This window comes from Homo sapiens, chromosome 4 (assembly GCF_000001405.40).
Source record: "Homo sapiens chromosome 4, GRCh38.p14 Primary Assembly".
NCBI lineage: Eukaryota > Metazoa > Chordata > Mammalia > Primates > Hominidae > Homo > Homo sapiens.
Window position 1 is genome coordinate 174,040,753 of NC_000004.12, and position 19,487 is coordinate 174,060,239.

Sequence of the window (19,487 nt, forward strand, 5' to 3'; positions counted from 1 at the left end):
GGAGGGGGTTGGGCTCTGTGTGGCTTCTTAGCTATGGGAAAGAGCATGCAATGTGTTACTAAAATATTAATGTCAAACGACCTTTCAGACTATTGCCATTAACCTCTGTTTTAATGACATAAAACACAAGTTTGTGAACTTTTCTGATTCTCAGAATGCTTGGACATTTGTTGGGGGAGGCCATGAACCCATCTTCCTTGGAAAAATTCACATTTATACAGAAATGTGCACACGATTTCAGGAGTTAATTGGGATCACGTTCCCCCTGGAGCCTACCCATGGGCCCATGGATTTCAGGTGAAAAAAAAATCACAGAAACTATTTTACAGTGAGCTAAATGAATTGTGGTCCTTAAATCATAATTATAATACTCACCTAAGTAAACAATTTCTACCCCCAAAATTATATAGTCCAGGCCATAAGGCAATCTGCCCTATAAGGTTAAATTTCTAGTTTCAACCACAGAGTTGTACTGTTTTTCAACAGTTTGACAATCTCCTTTCTACAATTTTGACATTCAAGAGCCAAATTCTTAATGCTAAAAATATATTTTAATACTCATTTACCAACAAAATTTGACCTGCACTAATGTGAGATTATTTACAATGTTTATTTGTGCTGCTTATGTTTTATAGCAGAAATAACGATGTGTTGGATTACAAGGTGATGCTTCAGTATCACCTTGTGAGGTTACATAATGTACTGTGTGTGTGTGTGTGTGTGTGTGTGTGTGTGTGTGTGTAGATACATATGTAGGTGTATATATACATATGCACACCTTCTACTTCCAAAAGAAACCAAAATTCTGAAAACCATGGGTCCTGAATATTTTTGAGTAAAGAGCCATCGACCTGTATAGTTTCCCATCCTTCTGAAATATTTCTTGAGTATTTTACGTCTTCTCTGTGTATTCAGGATACCAAAAATAAGTCAGCACACAGGGCTCTAAGCACTTAACATCCATCTGGTGTGTTGACAGGTTTTAGATGACATCCTAGTGTTTCCTCAGCGCAGACCACCTCAGGAGTAGGAAGGCTACAGGACATTGTGAATGTTCTCCCTCAGCATATAAAAGAAACACCTGTACCAAATTAATTTGTGCTTATCCAGTGAGAAGTTCACAGGGTCCCTCCGCCTCTTTTACCTATGAAGGGTGGTCTATTGACTTAGCTGCTGTGCAAAACAAGGCCCTGCAGGGAGCCCTGGCCTCTCGAGGGGATTTTCTGGGAATTATTCTTCACGTACTCCTAAGCTTGTTTCTTTCTTTGTTTTCTACGTTCTTACTTAACCTTAATTTATATAGTCTAGCTTTGTATTTTCGAGGCATTATGCCATCGTTAAATTGCTAATACTTACCACATTGTTTAAAGCAGGCATCATTCCTCATGTGCGACGCAGAGACCCAGAGATGGGTTAAGTAATTTGCTCAAGGAATCAGAATGGGAGTGAATGATGAGGCTTCAATTAGAACTCAGAGTTTCATATGTACTGTTCTTTTCTCAGGTCTCTGGGGCACAGTGTTATTATCTGGGAACTGATCCCAAAGACCAAACTAAGTATCCCTAGCTGTGGTGCTTCTTCCTAACATATAAACACTTCTGGGGGAAGAGGATGGAGGAGGAACTGAAAAGAAACAAGTATCCTCGTTTCCCTAATGTATCAAATTCATTGAAACATAATGAAGGTATTAGCTCTTATTCAATCTTTGTAAAATCATTTCCTCATTATTTTAATATATTTTAACACAGTCGTTTAAAACCTAACTCAATTACACCTTAAGAAATAAAATATTAGATAAAAACTTTTAATTTCAACTTTTGTTGAGGTACTTTATCTGTTTTCTCTTAGATAAATTGCTACATTGAAAAGTTTATGATTCATTTTTTCAGGTAGTATAAAATCAGAAAAAAATGTATATTTTATCAGTTTCTAGTGGATATCTGCTGAAATTAAAATATTTATTTTAATACAAACCTAAAAATTTGACATATAACCTAATAACAGAAGGAGGTAAAATTCAGAGGAATTACCCTCTTCTAATTTTCCCCAATCCCTTCTCTCACTGACAGTTCTCTTGTGGATATCTAGTAGTTAGTTTTCTTCTTCCTCTGTCCTCCCTGGATTACTGTAACTGACCTGTTTCCATTGTCATGCAGGTTGCATCTAGGTCTTTCTTAACCTGTACTTAAGACCATTAGGGTACTCTAGAATCTGCTATTGTATATGTAAAATTTCCATCTAGATGTATCCCATGACTCCAGAAGTCTACTTTGACAACTCGGTTCAGTGTTTTATTTTATGCTGCCTTACTTCTCCAACAGTGCCAGTGACAAACATTCTCTTGAGTCTCTGGACCTCCTTCTTTTTTTTTTTTTAAATATATATCATTTACAGAAAGGCAATACATTTCTATGTATAAAACGTTTCTCACATTTCCCACTCCCTTAGAGGTCCACTAAACAGCTTCATCTCTCAGTAACGTTCCCCAAAGTGCCACCAACATAATTACCCCATGTTCATCATTCATACCACATCATCTCCATTCTGAAACTCTTTTCAATGGCTTTCAGGCTTATATCTCCCCAAAATGGGCTGTATAAGCCACTTCATTCAGTCCTCATTCTAATATAACATTAAGTCTTCCCTGAAACAATTTAGGGTGTGACTTTTTCTCCGATCATGGCCCAATTTGTTGGTCTCTAAGGGCTTGGCAGAACTCCTTCTGAGCATTCCCTAGATTTCAACTTACACATGTCATAGCCTCTTCCATTCCATTCTACACATTGTAATTCTTGCCCTTTCATCTCGAACTCCTACTTCCATCAAGAAGTCTTTCCTTATTAACATGACATGCCCCAAATCTCTCTGTTTACCAATTGTTTATTACTGCAGTTTTCATACTTTGGCTTTTTAAATTTCCATTTGGTAAATTCTTCTTGTTATTCTCACATCTGTCTTGCCTTTGTCTCAAAGGACAAAGTCTTTAAAGTTTTTATACCTATTTAATCTTAAATATATAATGACAATTCTATGCTATGCCCTTAATTATCTTTTGTTTATTCAAAAAACTGTTGAAAAGCACGTCTTGAAAAATTCATGTACCTTTTTCTCCTAGGAAAACCTCAGTGTTGATATTGGAGGTCAGTGTTTCAGAAGGTAGGTGCTAGAGTCAGATGTCCTCGCACTGCATCCCTAGCCCAACCTTAATTATTAGTTTTGCATACTCAAGCAACTTCACTTTCCTGTTACCCAGTATCCTCATCAGTTACAAAGGAATAATCATAACACCTGTTCCTTAACATGGATGTGAGGTTTTAATAAGAAAATACACTTAAGGAATTAAATGGAGGCTTGCACATAGTAACTGCTCAATAAAATACAACTATTACCAATTTATTCAAAAGTGGATTTCATTTATGTATATTTCAACATGCTGACCTTTGGAAGAAGGGGTACAGACAGCAGAGTGGAAAATAATCTACTACTATCTTCAAAATAATTTGTATTATAAAATATTTGGTGTGGTTAGGTATTAGTTCAAGTTCTTACTTTAATTATAGTGAATACTACTGATAAATTTCATATTTTTAATCATTTAGATTAAATTTAGTATGCATTGGTCTAAAGAAAATTTATGCACACAGATATAGGAATTTCCCTGTGTGTTCTCAGTAATGAATATATGTAAACTTAAATGTTCTTCCTTGATTTGGTCCTCTTTACCAATCCAAATAGAAAGTCATATAATACAGCATTCTCATTCTACTAGAACATTATCCATAAAAACTGATTCAGAGAAGTTTCTATATCTCTCTCCCAGCAACTATATTTACATCTAAATTTTCCCAAGACCTATATTAAGTGGAATGATCCCACCCAGTAATAAAACTTCCTGGTACCATGCTTGCAGATAGCCTATTATCAATTTAATTTAATAATGTTTTGCTATGCATATAAAATAAAAACCGACATGTCCTAATTCCAATTTTTGAATATATTTATAGCAAATATATATACATTTACATGGGTAAGTAAAATAAGCCTTGCAAATATCTTAAAAAATAAGGAGTTATTTTCCTAGTTAAGGAGCTGAAGGTCAAATACAAGCAGTTTCCTTAAGAAGATCAAGAAAGGCTTCCAGTCAAGACCACAGGGTAAGTTGTGAATCATATCCCGCTCACTGGACACATAGAAATAATAGAAAATATAAAAACTAAGACCCTCTCCTAGAAGGTTAAAGAAGGAATCAAAAGCAAGACAATCATCCATAATTTTGGTTGCCATAAAAAAATACGTTAGACTGCGTACATTACAAATATAATTTTTTTGATCACACAGTCTGGAGGCTGAAAAATCCAAGACAAAGGTGCCAGCAGATTCAGTGTCTGGTGAGGACTCATTCCCCGTAGATGATGGCTTCTATGTGTCTTCACATGGTGAAAGGAGCAAACAGTCTTTCTCAAGCCCCTTTTACAGAACTAATCTCATTCATGAGGGCAGAGCCCTTATAACAATAACTTCCCAAAAGGTCACATTCCTTAATACCATCATATTGAGCATTAAGTTTCAATGTATGAATCTGAAGAGAACACCAACATTCAGACTATTGCAGAAATTGATTAAAATCATAGCCAAAGCACAAAGCTGTGGGTCAGGCTGAGGCCTGGGCTAGCAGCAGCCAGTAGCAGCTAGAAGGGAACAGGGTCTAAAATGTACTTAAAATTAGGTTTTGGTGTAGCTTTGCTATAAGTGAATAAAAGCCCCAGTAAGCCACTTAGGAATCAAGACTGATTGGAAGATATGAGACTAGAAGATGTAGGAGGACCTTGAGAATACAGATGTTGTCAGGACAGGACAAGAACCAAGACCATTCACCTTTGACCTTGGCGATTTGACATATATATCCCTGGTATCACTAATGACTAGGGATGCTAACCTAATGATATAAAGCAGGATGCTATACCATATGGAGGCAGCCACCTAACTCTACAAAGGGAGGAAAAGACAGGGAGAAAAAGAAAAAGAGTACACTGCAAATTTTCCTTCGTTTTTCAACTCCAAAACACACAAAGAAATCCTTTGATTGGGAAGACAGTTGACAAACAATATAAATTCATTTTACAAAAAATTAAAATAGTATCACATAAAAAGATGATTTAAGTACATTTAAGCTTTCCAAATACATACAAGAAAATAAACCACAAGATGACCATCAATGATAGACTGGATTAAGAAAATGTGGCACATATACACCGTGGAATACTATGCAGCCATAAAAAAGGATGAGTGGGGTTTTTTTAAAAATTTTTTTTTATTATACTTTAAGTTTTAGGGTACATGTAAAGGATGAGTTTATGTCCTTCTTAGCGACATGGATGAAGCTGGAAGCCATCATTCTGAGCAAACTATCACAAGGGCAGAAAACCAAACATCACATGTTCCCACTCATAGGTGGGAATTGAACAATGAGAACACTTGGAGACAGGGCGGGGAACATCACACAATGGGGCCTGTCGTGAGGTGGGGGGATGGGGGAGAGATAGCATTAGGAGAAATACCTAATGTAAATGATGACTTAATGGGTGCAGCAAAGCAACATGGCACATGTATACATATGTAACAAACATGCACGTTGTGCACATGTACCCTAAAACTTAAAGTATAATAAAAAATAAATAAAAATAAAAAATAAAATAAAATGCAATTTTCAAAAAAAAAAAAGAAACCACAGGAAAATTTGTGAAAGAAAAAATCAGAAAAAGAAGAAAAGAAATGAGGAAAAAATAAAAAGTCACATATAAAATTCAAAATAACAGAAATAAAAGATTATAATGGAAATGACTCAATAGTATAGATAAATATTAGACTGGACACAGTAAAAGAATTAGATGGTACTTCAGTGAAAGCACAGAACTTAGTTCAGAGAGATAGAAAAGGTGAAAATACATAAACATACATTTAATAGAAAAGTTAAGTGACATGGAGAGCTGCAATAGGTGCCTATTATATGTTTTTGAAAGTATAATGGAGTGAATTGTATGAAACAACATTATAATTTACAGTCTCTGAAAATTTTCCAAGTGAAGGAAATAGATAAAATAATGAATTATATGACTGCAAATGTACTCGAACTATAAGCAAGATAAATAAAAATAAGTACATTAAAACATATTATAGTAAAAATGTAGAAACAAAAAGGTAAAAAGAAAAATCCTAAAAGCCATCACATAGAAAAAAAAATACTGTTAGGAGGAAAACAAATTGCACCAGTATCAATAGATGCCAGAAGACAACACAATAATATGTTTAAGGATGTAAGAAAATAGAGTTCTTCAATTAAAAACTGTTATCCTGGTTGTCTGTCTTTGGAGATTAAAGGTACATCCATATATTTTCTGAAATAGGATAAAGGAAAGTATCTACCACAGGCTTTTTCTTAAAAGAACAAAACAGCAAAATGAAAAGTAAATCTTGAAGGAAGGAACAAATAAGAGACATTTTGCATTGTTTAACTTGTTAGAAAAGTTTATAATCTTGTGTGTGCCCATTAAATGCAATCAATAACTTCCAAACACAGAAAAAATAACTGAGTATAACACTGTCAAGCAAACATAAGTCAGGTATTATCAGATAAATTTTGATTCCCAAAATTCATATGCGGAAGACCTAAGCCACAGTACCTCAGAATGTGACTGTATTTGCAGATAAAGCCTTTGAAGAGCCGATTAAGTTAAAATAAGGTCGTGTGGGTGGGGCCCTAATTAAGTTAAAATGAGATCATGGGAGCGGGGTCCTAATGCAGTGTGACTGGTGCCCTTATAAAAAGAGAAAACTTGGACAAGCAAGAGAGATATCAGAAATGCACACACACAGAGGAAAGATCATGTGAGGACACAGGGAGAAGGTGGCCATCTGCAAACCACAGAGATATGCCTCAGAGGAAATCAAACCAGCTAACATCTTACTTTTGGGCTTCTACCCTCCATAACTGTGAGAAAATAAATTTGGGTTGTTTAAGCTCCACAGCCTGTGTTATTTTGTTATGGTAACACTAGCAAACTAATACAGCAGGAAAGGAGGGGAGAGAAGCAGCAAATGATTGATAAACAGATACAAGTTGATATATTAAATGATATAATGAAGTCAATATAATAAATTCATAATGATGTTGATATAATGAAGTTTATGTAAATTGATGCAATGAAGTCCAAATATATAAGCAATTCAAGTAAATTAATCTGGCATACCGTAAGAGATTAGCAGATGGATTTTTTTAAATCCACTGCATGATGTTTACAAAACACACACACTTGAATACATGTACATACACACACAATTGCAACTAAAACAAAACTGCAGAGAAAATTTGCAAATATAGTGATGAAAAATATATTATGCAGATATTAGATGAGTTTGATACAGCAATGTTAATATCAGACAAAATAAGCTTAAAATGAAAAAATTATTACTATGAATAGTGGCATTCCATTATTTTAAAAAGAAAAATAAATCACAATGTTATCATCCAAAATAGATTTCTACTTAAAGAAAAATTGTCAGAATTGCAAGGAGAAATTGACAAGTTCATAGTCACAGTGAGAGTTTTTATTATACCCACAAATTGACAAAATAAGACATAAATGATTTAAACAACAAAAATAACAAAAGCACCTTGAAGCCAATAAGTGGAAAAGGTATATTTATTTCAGCAATTTGAAACATTTTCAAAAGTGGGTAACATGACTTTTTTAAAAATAGATTTTAGTTTTTCAGAGCAATTCTAGGTTCAAAGCAAAATTGGATGAAAAGTACAGAGGTGTCCCATGTACAGTAGTGGATGCCTGAAAGCCTGGATATACCTAACCCTACAGGTAATATGTTTTATCTGTATGTACATACCTATGATAAAGTTTAACTTATGAATTAGGCACAGTAAGAGGTTAACAATAACTAGTAATAAAAGAACAATTATAACAATATAGTGTAATAAAAATTATATGAATGTGTGCTCTCTCTCTCCCTCAATGTATAATATTTTTGGACCGCATTTGATTACAAGTTTCTTTTTCTTGTTTTATTGACTAGGATTATTAACTAGGACTTCTAATATGATGTTGAAAAGCAGTGGTGAGACGTTCTTGCCTTGTTTCTGATCTTAGTGAAAAATCTTCAAGTTTCTCACTATTAAATATGATGTTAGTTGTAGGTATTTTGTAGATATTTTGTATTAAGTTGAGAAAGATCCCCCCCGTTCTTTGTTTACTGAGAGTTTTTATCATTAATAGGTGCTGGATTTTGCCAAATGATTTTGCTGCATCTACTAATATGGTCAAGTGATTTTCTTCTTTATCCTATTGATGTGGTAGATTATATTAATTGATTTTTGAATATTAAATCAGCCTTGCATACTTGGGATAAATCCCACTTAGTTGTGATATATAATTCTTTTTATACATTGTTGGATTCAATTTGCTAATATTTTATTAAGGATTTTTGCATTATGTTCATGAGAGAAATTGGTCTGTAGTTTTCTAATAATATTTTTGCCTACTTTGTGTATTAGTATAATGCTGGCCTATAGATTAAGTTAGGAAATATTTCCTCTACTTCTATCTCTTGAAAGAAATTATATAGAATTAGTACAATTCCTCCTAAAATCGTTAGTAGAATTCACCAGTGAGCCCATCTGGCCTGGTGCTTTCTGTTTTGGAAAATTATTCAGTATTAATTATTAATTAAGTTCAATTTATTTAACAGATATAGGCCCACTCGGATTGTCTATTTCTCCTAGGGTGAGTTTTGGCAGGTTGTGTGTTTCAACAAATTAGTCTATATTATTTATGTTATAAAATTTGTAGGCATAGAGTTATCCATAATATTACTGTATTATTTTGTTAATCACTATAGAACCTGTAATGATACCCTATCTTTCATTTCAGCTATGAATGATTTGTATTCTTTTTTCTCGGTTAGGCTGGCTAGAGGCCTATCAATTTTATTGATCTTTTAAAAAAACAACTTTTGGTTTCATTGATTTTTCTCTATTGATTTCCTATTTTCAATTTCATTTATTTCTTTGCTATTGTGAATACTGCTGCAATAAACATATGAGTGGGTGTGTCTTTATAGTAGAATGATTTATAATTTTGGGGGTATATATCCAGTAATGGGATTGCCTGGTCAAATGGTATTCCTGGTTGTAGATCCTTGAGGAATCGCCACACAGTCTTCCATAATGGTTGAACTAGTTTACACTCCCACCAACAGTCTAAAAGCATTCTTATTTCTCCACATCCTCTCCAGCATCTGTTGTTTCCTGACTTTTTAATGATCACCATTCCAACTGGTGTGAGATGGTATCTCATTGTGGTTTTGATTTGCATTTCTCTAATGACCAGAGATGATGAGTTTTTTTTCATATGTTTGTTGGCTGCATATATGTCTTCTTTTGAGAAGTGTCTCTTCATATCCTTTACCTACTTTTGGATGGGGTTTTTGTTTTTTTTCTTGTAAATTTGTTTAAGTTCTTTGTAGATTCTAGATATTAGCCCTTTGTCAGATGGATAGATTGCAAACATTTTCTCCTATTCTGTAGATTGCCTGTTCACTCTGATTATAGGATAGTTTCTTTCGCTGTGCAGAAGCCGTTTTTAGTTTAATTAGATCCCATTTGTCAATTTTGGCTTTTGTTGCCATTGCTTTTGGTGTTTTAGTCATAGTCATTGCCAATGCCTATGTCCTGAATTGTATTGCCTAGGAGTTCTTCTAGGGTTTTTATGGTTTTAGGTCTTACGTTTAAGTCTGTAATGCATCTTGAGTTAATTTTTGTATAAGGCGTAAGGAAGGGGTCCAGTTCTCTGTATTTCCTGAATTTGAATGTTGGCCTGCCTTGCTAGGTTGGGGAAGTTCTCCTGGATAATATCTTGAAGTGTGTTTTCCAACTTGATTCCATTCTCCCCATCTCTTTCAGGTACTCCAATCCGTCATAGTTTCGTTCTTTTTACATAGTCCCATGTTTCTCAGAGGTTTTTTGTCCATTCCTTTTCATTCTTTTCTCTCTAATTTTGTCCAATTGTCTTATTTCAGCAAGATAGTCTTCCATTTTTTATATTCTTTCTTCCCCTTGATCGATTTGGCTATTCATACTTGTGTATGCTTCACAAAGTTCTTGTGCTGTGTTTTCAGCTCCATCAGGTCATTTATGTTCCTCTCTAAATGGGTTATTCTAGTTAGCCACTCCTCTAAACTTTATCAAGTTTCTTAGCCTCTTTGCATTGTGTTAGAACATACTCCTTTACCTCAATGAGGTTTGTTATTATCCACCTTCTGAAGCCTACTTCTGTCGATTCATCCATCTCATCCTCCATCCAGTTTTGTGCCCTTGCTGAAAAGTTGTTGCTATCATTTGGAGGAGAAAAGGCACTCTGGCCTTTTGGGTTTTCAGCATTTTTCCATTGATTCTTTCTCACCTTCATGAGTTCATCTATGAAATCATGTGCAAAATCACAAGAATTCCTATACACCAATAGACAAGCAGAAAGCCAAATTGTGAATGATCTCCAATTCACAGTTGCTACAAAGAGAATAAAATAAATAGGAATACAGCTAACAAGGGGCATGAAGGACCTCTTCAAGGAGAACTACAAACCACTGCTCAAGGAAATAAGAGAGGACACAAACAAATGGAAAAACACTCCATGCTCATGGATAGGAAGAATCAATATTGTGTGAATGGCCATACTGCTCAAAGTGATTTATAGATTCAATGCTATCCCCATCAAGCTTCCATTGACTTTCTTCACAAAATTAGAAAAAACTACTTTAAATTTCACATGGAACCAAAAAAGAGCCCATATAGCCAAGACAATCCTAAGAAAAAAGAACAAAGCTGGAGGCATCATGCTACCTGACTTCAAACTGTACTACAAGGCTACAGTAAACAAAAGAGCATGGTACTAGTACCAAAACAGATATATAGACCAATGGAACAGAACAGAGGCCTCAGAAATAATGCCACCCATCTACAACCATCTGATCTTTGACAAACTGGACAAAAACAGGAAATGGGGAAAGGATTCCCTACGTAATAAGTGATGTTGGGAAAACTGGCTAGCCATATGCAGAAAATTGAAACTGGACCCCTTTTTATAAAACTAATATAACATTGATCCTCAAATCACATTCATTACTGACTTTTTAAAGTTCTGAGTCAAAACTACAGGAACAGTTTTCTAACCAGACAAAACAAACTTATCTAAAAACTGTAGTAAAATTCATTTCAGAAATGATGGTGTGAGAGTATGACACATAATTTCCCAAGAACAAAAAATTTACCGGCTAAAAATTATTTTAAAACAAATATTTAAAGTTTCTGTAAATTTGCCAAGGAGAAATCTTCTTCAAATAGCAAATGAAGAAACATATATTCAAAAAGATTTAATAAATCTTAATATGATCAGTGAGAATCTGTGGCATTTGAGCCATGACCCACTCATAACTCCTTCCTCCAGCTCAGTGTGTTAACAGTTTTACTCTTGGCATGTGCAGCCAAGAAGGTAGGGGTCTCTCTCCACCTTGCTTCCCACACAGAGATATGGTTTCATGCTGGGAGGGACAGACCACTAGCATTTTTCATCCCTATCTTCTGTTCCATATTTCAGAAGCAATATTCCAGACAGACATGGCTGAAAGAATCTATCTCCCTTCCTCCTCTCAACCCCCACTAACAGAGAAGCTCTACCAGAAGGAGCGTAGGCTGAGAATACAAGGCCTTAAATGCTTCCATCAAAACTCACTTGTAAATGAGAGAAAATATTCACAAATATCCACAAGCTATGCATAGACAAAGGTCCAATTTATCCAGCATCTATAAGGAAATTAAACAATTCAACAAGCGAAAAACAACCCCATTAAAACGTGAGCAAAGGACATGAACAGACACTTCTCAAAAGAAGATATAAATTCAGCCAATAAGCATATGAAAAAAATGCTCTGCATCACTAATCAATAGTGAAATGCAAATCAAAACCATAGTGAGACACCATCTCACACCAGTCACAATGGCTATTATTAAAGAGTGAAAAAATAACAGATACTGACAAGGCTATGGAGAAAAAGGAACACTTACATGTGGATGGTGGGAACGTAAATTAGTTTAGCCATTGTGGAAAGTAGTTTGAAGATTTTTCGAAGAACGTAAAACAGAACTACCATTTGACCCAGGAATCCTATTGCTGGGTATATACCCAAGGGAAAATAAATTGTTCTGCCATAAATACACAGGCACTCACATGTTAATTGCAGCACTATTCACAATAGCAAAGGTATGGAAACAACAAATGTGCCCATCAGTGATGGATTAGATTTTGTTAAAAAAGTGCTACATATACACCATGCAACACTGTGCAGCCATAAAAAAGAACTAGATTATGTCCTTTGCGGGGTCATGGATGGAGCTGGAGGCAACTATTCTAAGCAAATTAATGCAGAAACAGAAAACCAGTACTGTATGTTCTTAGGTATAAGTGGGAGCTAAACATTGGGTACTCAGGGACATAAAGATGGGAACAAACACTGGAGCTAGAGAGGGTCGAGAGAGAGAGGCAAAGGCTGAAAAACTACCTATTGGGTACTATGTTGACTACCTGGGTGACGGGATCATTTGTACCTCAAACCTCAGTGACACACAATATACTCATGTAACAAACCTGCGTATGTACTACCCAACCTAAAATAAAAGTTGAAAATTTTGAAAAGTCAATGAATGCTACAAAAGTATTTTTATAAAAATAAAATTAAAATAAAATAAACTCACGTGTAAAGATTCCATACTAGTAGGAGCAATTTAAGAAGACCAGGGTAGACAGGGCATGGTGGCTAACATCTGTAATCCCAGCACTTGGGGAGGCTGAGGAGGGTGGATCACCTGGGGTCAAGAGTTCAAGAACAGCCTGGCCAATATGGTGAAACCTCGTCTCTACTAAAAATACAAAAATTAGCTAGGCGTGGTAGCTCTCGCCTGTAGTCCCAGCTACTTGGGGGAGGTTGAGGCAGGAGAATCTCTTGAACCCAGGAGGCGGAGGTTATGGTGAGTGGAGATAGTGCCACTGCACTCCAGCCTGGGCAACAGAACAACACTCCATCTCAAAAAATAATAATAATAATAATAAAAGAAAGACCAGGGTCTACTGTTCCCACCCAAAGCTCTGTTCATAGAGCAGGGGTTTTACTCTGAGAGAAGTGGGTCTCTTCTTGGCCAGAGTTCCAGAGTCTGTGCCTAAGGGGAACAACAGATTATAAGAACAAACAATGCCACAACTGTGCTTAAGAGAACTGACTATACTTGGAACAGAGTATGAGGAAGTCCGTGCCAAAAGGTATTGTGGAAAACAATGAAGATATTGATGCTGAGCAGTTAAGAGGTGGCTGATACCAGCTGATCATTTCTAATTCAAAAACCTGAAATCCAAAATGCTCCAAAATCTGAAACTTTGAGCACCAACATAATGCCACCTATAGAAAAATTCACACCTAACCTCACGTGATAGGCCAGTCACGACTTTGTTTTATATGCAAAATTATTTAAAATGTTATATAAAACTAAATTCAGGCAAGTGTGTAAGGTTTATATGAAATGTAAATGAGTGTTGGTAAAGGTAATTATAAAATAATTGTAAAAGTATATTGCATATTTCTTTTCTTTATGAATCAATTCATTTAAAAATAAATTTTATAAGACAATATGTATACAACTATTATTGGACTTATAAAAAATGTAATGCACTTGGCAACCACAGCAAAAGAGACATGGATAAAAACAAAGCTGTGTCACAGCACAAAAATGACACCAGATGGCAACTAGAATTCACAAGGAGAAATTAAGGGAACTAGAAATTGCAAATAAAATGCAAAATAATGTAACAAATTCCATAAATATATAATTGTCTTCCTTTCTTCTCTCAAAATATATAAAATTCTAGTAAAAATTATAACTAAATTTTTGGATAGGTTACACATATAGACTTAAAATGTACAAAAATAGTAGCAGAAATGAGGGAAGGAAATAAAATTTGATAAGAGTAAATTGCATTTTCCTATGATTAAGTTAGTGTAAATCAGAAGTAGATTCCGATAAGATGTTTTTGTACTCTTGGAATGACCATTAAATTTTTTTAAAAATGTATTTTAAAATCATTAAAGAAATTAAATGGTACACTAGAAAATATTCAGTTAATACAAAAGATGGCAGTAAAGCAGGAACAAAGAAAAAATATGAGATGTAGAGGAAACAAAAAACAAAAATTCAATCATACCAATAATAACATTAAAGTGAATGTATTAACAATCCAATCAAAAGGTAGAAATTGTCAGACTGGAGGGAAAATCCAGATCCAAATATATGCTGTCTAAAGGAGACACATTCTATTTATTTATTTATCTATCTATTTTCCACTTTTATTTTGGGTTCAGGGGTACATGTGCAGGTTTGTTATATAGCTAAATTGTATGTCACAGGAATTTGGCATACAGATTACTTCATCACTCACATAATCAGCATAGTACTTAATATGTAGTTTTTCAAGCCTCATTTCCTCCCACCTTCCACCCTCACGCAAACCGTGGTATCTGTTCTTCCCTTCTTTGTGTCCACGTATGCTCAGTGTTTAGTTCCCACTTATAAGTGACAACATGTAGTATTTGGTTTTCTGTTACTGTGTTAGTTTTTTAGGATAATGGCCTCCAGTTTCATCCATGTTGCTGCAAAGAACATGATGTAATTATTTTTTATGGCTGTATAGTATTCTGTGGTGTATATGTACCACATTTTTTTAACCCAGTCTATTGTTGATGTGTATTTAGGTTGATTCCATGCATTTGCTATTGTGAATAATGCTGCAATGAACGTATGTGTGCAGGTGTCTTTATGGTAGAACATTTTCTTCCAGTAATGGGACTGCTGGGTCAAATGGTAGTTCTGTTTTAAGTTCTTTGAGAAATCACCAAACTTTTTTCCACAATGGCTGAACTAATTTACATTCCCACAGCAGTGTATAAGCATTTCCTTTTATCTACAACCTCACCAGCATCTGTTAGTTTTTGGCTTTTTAACAATAGCCTTTTTGACTTGTGTGAGATGGTATCTCATTGTGGTTTTGATTTGCATTTCTCTAATGATTAGTGATATTGAGCGTTTTTTTCATATGCTTGTTGGCTGCATGTCTTCTTTTAAAAATCGTCTGTTCATGTCCTTTGCCCACTTTTTAATGGGGTTGTTTGTTTTTTGTTTATAGATTTAAGTTCCTTATAGATGCTGGATATTAGACTTTTATCAGACGCATGGTTTGCAAATATTTTCTTGCATTCTATAGTCTGTTTACTCTGTTGACAGTTTCATTTGCTGTGCAGAAGCTGTTTAGTTTAATTAGGTTACAATTATCAACTGTGGTTTTATTGCAATTGCTTTTGGGGTCTCCATCATGAAATCCTTGACAAGTCCTATGTCCAGATGGTATTCTCTAAGTTATCTTCCAGGGTTGTTATAGTTTTAGGTTTTATGTTTAAGTCTCTAATCCATCTTGAGTTTTTTATATGGTGTAAGAAAGGGGTCTAGTTTCGATCTTCTGCATAGGGCTAGCCACTTATCTTAGCACCATTGATTGAATAGGGAGTCCTTTCCCTATTGTTTGCTTTTGTCTATTTTGTCAAATATCAGATAGTTGTAGGAGTGCAGCTCTATTTCTGGGCTCTCTATTCTGTTCCATTGGTCTACTGTTGATGTGCATTTAGGTTAATTCCATGCATTTGCTATTGTGAATAATGCTGCAAAACATCTGTTTTTGTACCAGTACTATGCTGTTTTGGTTATTGTAGCCTTGTAGTATAGTTTGAACATGGGTAACATAATGCCTCCAGCTTTGTTCTTTTTGCTTAGAATTGCCTTGGCTATTCGGGCTCTTTTTTGGTTCCATATGAATTTTTAAACAGTTTTTTCTAGTGCTGCGAAGAATGTCATTGGTAGTTTGATAGGAATAGCATTGAGTCTGTAAATTCCTTTGGCCATATGGCCATTTCAATCATACTGATTCTTCCAATACATGAATATGAAGTGTTTTTCCATTTGTTTGTGTTATCTCTCATTTCTTTAAGCAATATTTTGTGATTCACAGTCTAGAGTTCTTTTACCTCCCTTTTTAGTTGTATTACTAAATATTTTCTATGTCAATTGTGAATGGGATTGCCTTCCTGATTCGCCTCTTGGCTTGGTTGTTGTTGGACTGTTGGAATGCTAGTGATTTTTGTACAATAATTTTGTATACTGAAACTTTTCTGAAGTTGTTTATCAGATCAAGGAGCTTTGAAGTAAAGACTATGGAGTTTCCTATACATAGCATCATATCATCTGCAAACACGGTTAGTTTTACTTCCTCTATTTCAATTTGAATGCCTTTTATTTGTTTCTCTTGCCTGATTGCTCTAGCTAGAACTTCCATAACTATATTGAATAGGAGAGGTGAGAGAGGGCATCCTTGTCTTGTTCCAGTTTTCAAGGGGAATTCTTCCAGCAGGCGAGACATTTTAAATTCAAAGATACAAATAGATTTAAAGTTAAAAAAGAAAGGAAAATAATATTTATTGCAATTACTTTGCTAATATCAGACAAGATAAACTAAAATAAAGTGTCACTAGTGAAAAAGATGAACATGAACATTTTATAATGATAAAATAGTCATCTTAAAATATATATATATTTATTTATTTATAAAATTACAGAGGACCAGAATACATGAAGTAAAAGCTGACAGAATTAAAAGAAGAAATGCATGATTCAACAATTATAGCTGGAAATTTTAATATTACACTTTCAAAAATGTATAGAACAAAAAAGATTAATAAGTGTATGAAAGATTTGAAAAACATTGTAAGCCAGTTATACCTAATAGACATCTAGAATACTGTACCTATTCTTTTCAAGTACACTTTGGAACATTTGTCAGAATAGATCATATGGTAGGCCATAAAACAAGCCTCAATAAATTTAAAAAATTAAAATCATACAAAGTAAGTTATTTTACCACAATGGAAAAAAATTAGAAATCAATAACAGAAGAACAAGATAAGGGTATTACTTTTGCCATATTATCTTACACTGTAATGGAGGTTCTAGCTATGGCAATTTGGTAAGAAAAAGAAATAAATGCATCTGGAATGGAAATGAAGAAATAAAACTGCTGCTATTTGAAGATAAACCAATCTTATACATAAAAAATTTTGAGCAATCCACTAAAAGCCTATTGAAATTAATAAATAAGGTCAGAGGGGCTGCAGGATACAAGATCAATATTCCAAAATCAGTTTTATTTCTCTTCACTAGCAATGAACAATCTGGAAAATAAATTCAGAAAACAATTGTATTTGTAGTAGCATCAAAAATAATAAAATACTTGGAAAGAACTTTATAAAAGCTATGCATTGTTAAAAGAAATTAAAGAATATATAAATAAACGAAAAGACATTCATGTTCATGGATTAGAAGACAATATTGTTAACGTGCAATACTCCGCAAATTGATCTACACACTAAACATAAATGTCTATAAAAAATCCCAGCTGGCTTTTCATATAATAACCCTAAAATTAGTATAGAAATGCAAGAGACATCAAACAACCAAAACCATCTTGAAAAAAAAATGCAACATTAGAGGATTCACACTTTCTGATTTAAAAAACTTACTACAAAGCTACACAGTGCAAATATTGACATAAATAGACATCCAGATCAATAGAATAGAATTGAGGGTAAACCTTCACATTTATGATCCTTTCATTTTCAACACCAATGACAAGACAATAAAATGGGAAAAGAATAATAATCTTTTCAACTAAAGGTGCTGGAACAACTGGATATTCATATGTAAATGAATAAAGATAAACCCCTACCTCACACCATCCACAAAAATTAATTCAAAATGAATCATAGACCTAAAGAAAAAATAAAGTGTGCTTCCTCAAAATTGTAAAAGTGTGTGCATCCGAGGATAACATCAAGAAAGTGAAAAGAGAGGAGAAAATATTTCCAAATTATGTATTTGATAAAAAGCTTTTATCCAGAACATATAAAGAACTCTTACAACTCAACAATAAAGAGGCAAATAACTCAATTTAAAAATAGGCAAAGGATTTGAACAGTTATTTCTCAAAAAAAGATAACAAATGGGCAATAATCACATGAACAGATGTTCATTATTAGTCATTTGTGAAGTGCAAACCAAAACCACAATGAGATACCACTTCCAAAACACTAGATTACTAATCAAAACAACAGGATATGAAGAAATTGGGACCTTCATACATTGCTGGTGGAAACATAACAAGACATATATAGCATCTATGGAAAATAGTTCAGCAGTTCCTTAGAAGACTAGCCATAGAATTATCATATTACCCAGAAATTTCACTCCTGGGTGTATACTCAGGAGAAATAGAAACATATGTCCACAAAAAAATTGTACATGAAAAATTGTACATGTTTATAGCAGCATTATTCACAATAAGCAAAAAGTAGAAACAATCCAAATATCCATTAATTGTTGAATGGATGAATAAAGTATGGTATAATCAAAAGGAATAAAAATCTGATACATGTGCAACATAGATGAACCTTAAAAATCTTATGCTAAGTCGAAAAGTCCAAAAACCAGTCACAAAACAAACAGTTTTTGCATCAATCCTTTTTATTTAAAGTGGTCTGAGAAGGCAAATATATAGACATGTCATGATTAATTTTTTGTGTCAACTTGACTGGGTAAAGAAATGACCAGATATCTGGTAAACACATTTTTGGATATGTCTATGAGGGGGTGTGTTAGGCCATGCTTGCATTGCTTTAAAAAAAATACCTGAGACTGGGCTATTTATTTTACCTTTTTTAAAAAAGAGGTTTAATTGGCTTAAGGGTCTGCGGGCTGTGCAGTAAGCATAGCAGCATCTGCTTCTGCGGAGGCCTTGGAAAACTTAAAATCATGGAAGAATGTGAAGTGAAAGCAAGCACATCATATGGCCAGAGAAGGAGGAAGAGATAGTGGGAGGAGGTGCCACACATATTTTAATGACCAGATCTCACGTGAACTCAAAGTGAGAGCTCATTTATCACCAAGAGAATGGCCAAAGCTATCCATGACAAATCCACCCACATGACCCAAACACCTCCCACCAGGCCTCACATCCAACATTGAGAATTACATTTCAACATGAGATTTGGGTGGGGACCAATACCCAAGCTATATTATTCCACCCCGACCCCTCCCAAATATCATGTCCTTCTCACATTGCAAAACACAATTATGCCTTCCCAATAATTCCCCCAAAGTCTTAACTCAGTCCAGCACTAACTCAAAAGTCCAAAGTCAGATCTGAGATAAGGAAAATCTATGAGCCTGGAAAATCAAACCAAATTAGTCACTCTCAAGATACAATGGGAATATAGGCATT

The 19,487-nt window shown here is 34.4% G+C and overlaps 1 annotated feature.

Moving 5' to 3' along the window:
* Positions 1,921–2,478: an enhancer, noted in NCBI's record as "NANOG hESC enhancer chr4:174963824-174964381 (GRCh37/hg19 assembly coordinates)". NCBI's record gives its function as "activates a minimal SCP1, AML or CMV promoter by ChIP-STARR-seq in naive H9 embryonic stem cells {active_cell/tissue: H9 hESC(naive)}" and the evidence as "EXISTENCE:reporter gene assay evidence [ECO:0000049][PMID:30033119]".